At 45.7% G+C, this 4,464-nt stretch overlaps 2 annotated features.

The window, feature by feature from the left end:
• Window positions 813-1,024: a silencer, noted in NCBI's record as "fragment chr7:66980039-66980250 (GRCh37/hg19 assembly coordinates)". NCBI's record gives its function as "represses an EF-1alpha promoter that drives an FKBP-Casp9 reporter gene in an ReSE screen in K562 erythroleukemia cells {active_cell/tissue: K562}" and the evidence as "EXISTENCE:reporter gene assay evidence [ECO:0000049][PMID:32094911]".
• Window positions 3,205-3,767: an enhancer, noted in NCBI's record as "NANOG hESC enhancer chr7:66977296-66977858 (GRCh37/hg19 assembly coordinates)". NCBI's record gives its function as "activates a minimal SCP1, AML or CMV promoter by ChIP-STARR-seq in naive H9 embryonic stem cells {active_cell/tissue: H9 hESC(naive)}" and the evidence as "EXISTENCE:reporter gene assay evidence [ECO:0000049][PMID:30033119]".

Genomic DNA, 4,464 nt, shown 5'->3' with positions numbered 1-4,464 from the left:
ATTGTGTAAAGTGTTTGCATTTATTTAATATTGTTTCTGACTAATATGCCAGCAACAGAGACATGAAGTAACACTGGCTCATAAACAAAATTGAGATTTTTCTTTTTCTCCTATAAAAAAGTCCAAAGGAAGGCAGTCTATGGAAGTTGTGATGATTCCATAAAACCATCCACGCCTAGCCTTCTCCAGTGTTTCTGTCCCAGCATCTTTAATGAATGGCTTTTATCCTGGAGATTATCCCATAGTCAGAAATGGAGCCCCAGGCATCATGCCCATGCTTCAGGCAGGAAGAAAGAAGATGAGGTAGTGGGGAAGCAAAACACCCCCTTTAAAGAGCTTTTCCAAATTCCCACCTGATAATTTCTGATTCAATCTCATTGGAAACCCCATCACCAGGGAGATTGAGAAATAAGAATTTTTAGCCAAGCAAGACCTACCTTCAAAAATATAGGGCTCTGGCTGGACACAGTGGCTCATGCCTGTAATCCCAGTACTTTGGGAGGCCAAGGCGGGTAGATCGTCTGAGGTCAGGAGTTACAGACCAGCCTGGCCAACATGGTGAAACCCTGTCTCTACCAAAAATAGAAAAATTAGCTGGGTGTGGTGGCCCATGCCTGTAATCCAGCTACTCAGGAGGCTGACGCAGGGAATCACTTGAACCTGGCTGGTGGAATTTGCAGGGAGCCAAGATCACGCCACTGCACTCTAGCCTGGGTGGCAGTGAGACTCCATCTCAAAAATAAAATAAAATAAAATAAATATAGCTCTGTAACTAAAGAAGAAGAGATTGGACATTGGGTAGTAGCTTACTCCATTTGTGCAGCTATAACAAATTACCATAGACTGGGTGGCTTAAACAACAAATATTTATTTCTCACAGTTCTAGAGGCTGGGAAGTCCAAGATCACAGTGCCAGCAGGCTGGTGTCTGGTGAGGGCCCAGTTTCTGGTTTGCAAATTGCTGCCTTCTCCTTATATCCTCACACAACAGAAAGAGAGCTAGAGAGCTCTCTGGGGTGCCTCTTATAAGGGCACTACTCCCCCTTCACCCTCATGACTTAATCACCTCCTACAGTAAATTCCTATCATTTTATGTTGCATCCGTATCCATTCTGAATATGTTTAACTTTTTCAAACCTGAAGCAGGACTCACTCCCCCTTGACATGGTTTCTAGTTCTACACCTCCTTCCAGTTCCTCCATGTGGTCAATCCAGATATCTACATGTAATGAGAATGATACAACAAAGGTTCCTGCCTAGGCCTTAGAGGTAGAAAATCATACTCAAATGGCCCAAGGCAGATAACCTCAGGCGGGCAGATAACCTGAGGTCAGGAGTTCGAGATCAACCTGGCCAACATGGTGAAACCCGTCTCTACTAAAAATATAAAAATGAACTGGGCATGGTGGCAGGCACCTGTAATCCCAGCTACTCAAGAGGCTGAGGCAGGAGAATCACTTGAACCCAAGAGGCGGAGGTTGCACTGAGCCAAGGTCGTGCCACTGCACTCCAGCCTGGACGAAAGAGCAAGCCTCTGTCCCAAAAAAAGAAAAAAAAAAAAAGGCTTGTCCCACCTCTCCAGGCTCCATGCCTCTGGCTTCTCATTCTCGTACCCACCCTGCACAGCACAGTTTCTCAAAGTGCTATCTGAGAGCCCCTACATCTAAATAGGCTGAAATGCTTGTTAAAATGTAGATTCCAGCCAGATGCAGTGGCTCATGCCTGTAATCTCAGTGCTTTGGGAGGCCAAGGCACAAGAATCCCTTGAGCTCAGGAGTTCTAGACCAGCCTGGGCAACAAGGTGAAACCCAGTGTCCACAAAAAATACAAAAAATTAACCACACGTGGTGGCAAATGCCTGTCGTCCCAGCTATTAATACTCAGGAGGCTGAGGCAGGAGGATTGCTTGAGCCCAGGAGTTTGAGGCTGCAATGAGCTGTGATTGTACCACTGCACTCATCCTGTGCGCAGAGTGAGATCCTGTCTAAAAAAAAAAAAAAAAAAAAAATGCAGATTCTGACCAAGCATGTGGCTCACACCTGTAATCTCAGCATTTCGGGACGCTGAGGTAGGAAGGATGTTTCAGTTTCAATATCAACTTCTGTGTCCAAATCTCCCCCTTTTTTGAGAGACGAGGTCTCGCTATGTCACCCAGGCTGGAGTGCAGAGGCACCATCATAGCTCATTGCAACCTCAAACTCCTGTGCTCAAGTGACCCTCCCTCCTCAGCCTCCCAAGTAGCTGGGATTACAGGCATGCACCACCATGCTTGGCTATTTTTTATTTTTATTTTTATTTTTTGTAGAGACCACATCATGACATGTTCCCCAGGCTGGTCTTGAACTCCTGGCCACAAGTGATCCTTTCACCTTGGCCTCCCAAAGTGCTGGGAATACAGGCATGAACCACTATGCTGAGCCCCAGATGTCCCTTTTGTAAGGACTCCAGTCATGCTGGATTAGGGCCCACCCTAATGACTTTCTCTTGACCACATCTGCAAAGATGCTATTTGCAAATAAGGTCACATTCTAAGATACTAGAGGTTAGGGCGTCAACCTATCTTTTCCGGGCAGACACAATTCAATCCACAACAGTTACCAAATCTTGGAAGTGACATCCCATCATTTTTGCCATATTCTGTTTATTAGAAGCAAGTCATAGGTCCAGCCCTGACTCAAGGGCAGGGGATCACACGTGGGCATGGATGTCAGGAGGTAGACAGCATCGAGAGCCACTTTAGAAGCTGTCTCCATGACCCATATCCATAAACAGGGCTTGAATGAGCAGTCTGTTATCCATTTACTTCTACTGCAATTGTTTGTGAATTTATTTCTATGTTCCTCCAGACTGTGGGCTTCCCGGAAGCAGGGCTCCTGTCAAATCCATTACTAAAACATTCCTAACACCTAACGCCGGACTCAGCACGTGATGGGGTAGGTGCCCAGTCAATATTTATTGAATAAACAAATAAATAAGCAAATGAATGAGAAGCAGATAATGTTTCTCTCTGTCAAAGGGAAAAATTACTCCTAAAATCTTAGCAGGGGAGCATTGCAATAGGCCGTTTGCCATTCTGTGTCTGTGATTAAACGGATTCTCCTCCAGCCAGCCCAATCTTAACTATTGATCAGCAAACTAAACACTTGTTTATTTAAGGGGAGAAAGGCAGCGTTGTCTGCATACAGAGAATTCATGGAACAAGTCAGATGCCTGATGAGTAATTTTCCCTGCCGTTTAATAAGACCCACGAGGTACATCTGTTTCAATCACTTTGATTGGAACTAAAAACAAGCTCAAACAAGCTGCCTAATGCAGCCTCTACCTGACAGGTGTAGAGGGAGCGATTATATTGTCTCTTTCCATCCCTGGAAGCAATGAATGAAAGCCCACATGACTGGCAGCTTCTGGAAGAGGCGGGGAAAGGAGCAGATAGGAGAAAACTGATTCCACGGGGCAGGCTATGAATGGTGTGTGAAGAGCTCAGCTGGAGTTCCTGATGGGAGAAGAATGAGGGCTGAGGCCAGGGCGCTAATTGGGATCTTGTACTCAGAAGAGGAATTAGACAAAGAGATCTGCCAGCTCTCAACAGTCACGTGAAACACAGCAGATTAATATTAGTAAGCCAATTTGTCACAATCAGTATCCTCAGAGCATATGTGGGAAGTGGTGTCTATTATTCTGGAAGGAATAGTGAACTGGAATTCAGGAGTTGTTGGTTGAAATCCTGTCTCTGTCCCTTGCCAGCTCCGTAAACCAAAAAGTGTCTGAGACAAGTCTCCATCGATTTAGAGGTTTATTTTGCCACAGTTGAGGACACACCCAGGAAAAACAGACAAAAGTTACAGTAGGATCTGTGGCCTGTGCATTCTTCAAAGAGGATTCTGAGGACCTTAATAGTTAAAGGGGGCTGGGTGCAGTAGCTCATGCCTGTAATCTCAGGACTTTGGGAGGCTGAGAGGGGTGGATCCCCTGAGGTCAGGAGTTCGAGACCACCCTGGCCAACATGGTGAAACCCCATCTTTACTAAAAATACAAAAATTAACCAGGCGTGGTGGCAGGCACCTGCAATCCCAGCTACTGGGGAGGCTGAGGCAGGAGAATCGCTTGAACCCGGGAGGTAGAGGTTGTAGTGAGTCAAGATCGCACCATTGCAATCCAGCCTGGGCAACCCAGCAAGACTCTGTCTCAAAAAAAAAAAAAATTAAAGAGGAAAGAGCAGGCAGGAAGGGAAGGAGGAAAGAAGAAAAGGGGAGGGCAGATGGGGGGTGACAGGTGGCGATATTCCTGTGAGGCTTTGATCAGCCCTCACTGAATTTACATATTACATGTGAAAAGAGACAACAGGGTCAGGGGGTCAATTATGCATTCATCTAGCTCTGAGTGGATCTACATTTTATACAAGATAAAGTGAGCGTGTGAAATTACAGCTCTGTTTGTGGACAAAGGGAAAGCTGTGTTTGCATGA

This window comes from Homo sapiens, chromosome 7 (genome assembly GCF_000001405.40).
Source record: "Homo sapiens chromosome 7, GRCh38.p14 Primary Assembly".
In the NCBI taxonomy this organism is placed as follows: domain Eukaryota; kingdom Metazoa; phylum Chordata; class Mammalia; order Primates; family Hominidae; genus Homo; species Homo sapiens.
Note: the sequence above shows the minus strand (reverse complement) of the source record. Positions and strands in the feature narration are given on the sequence as shown.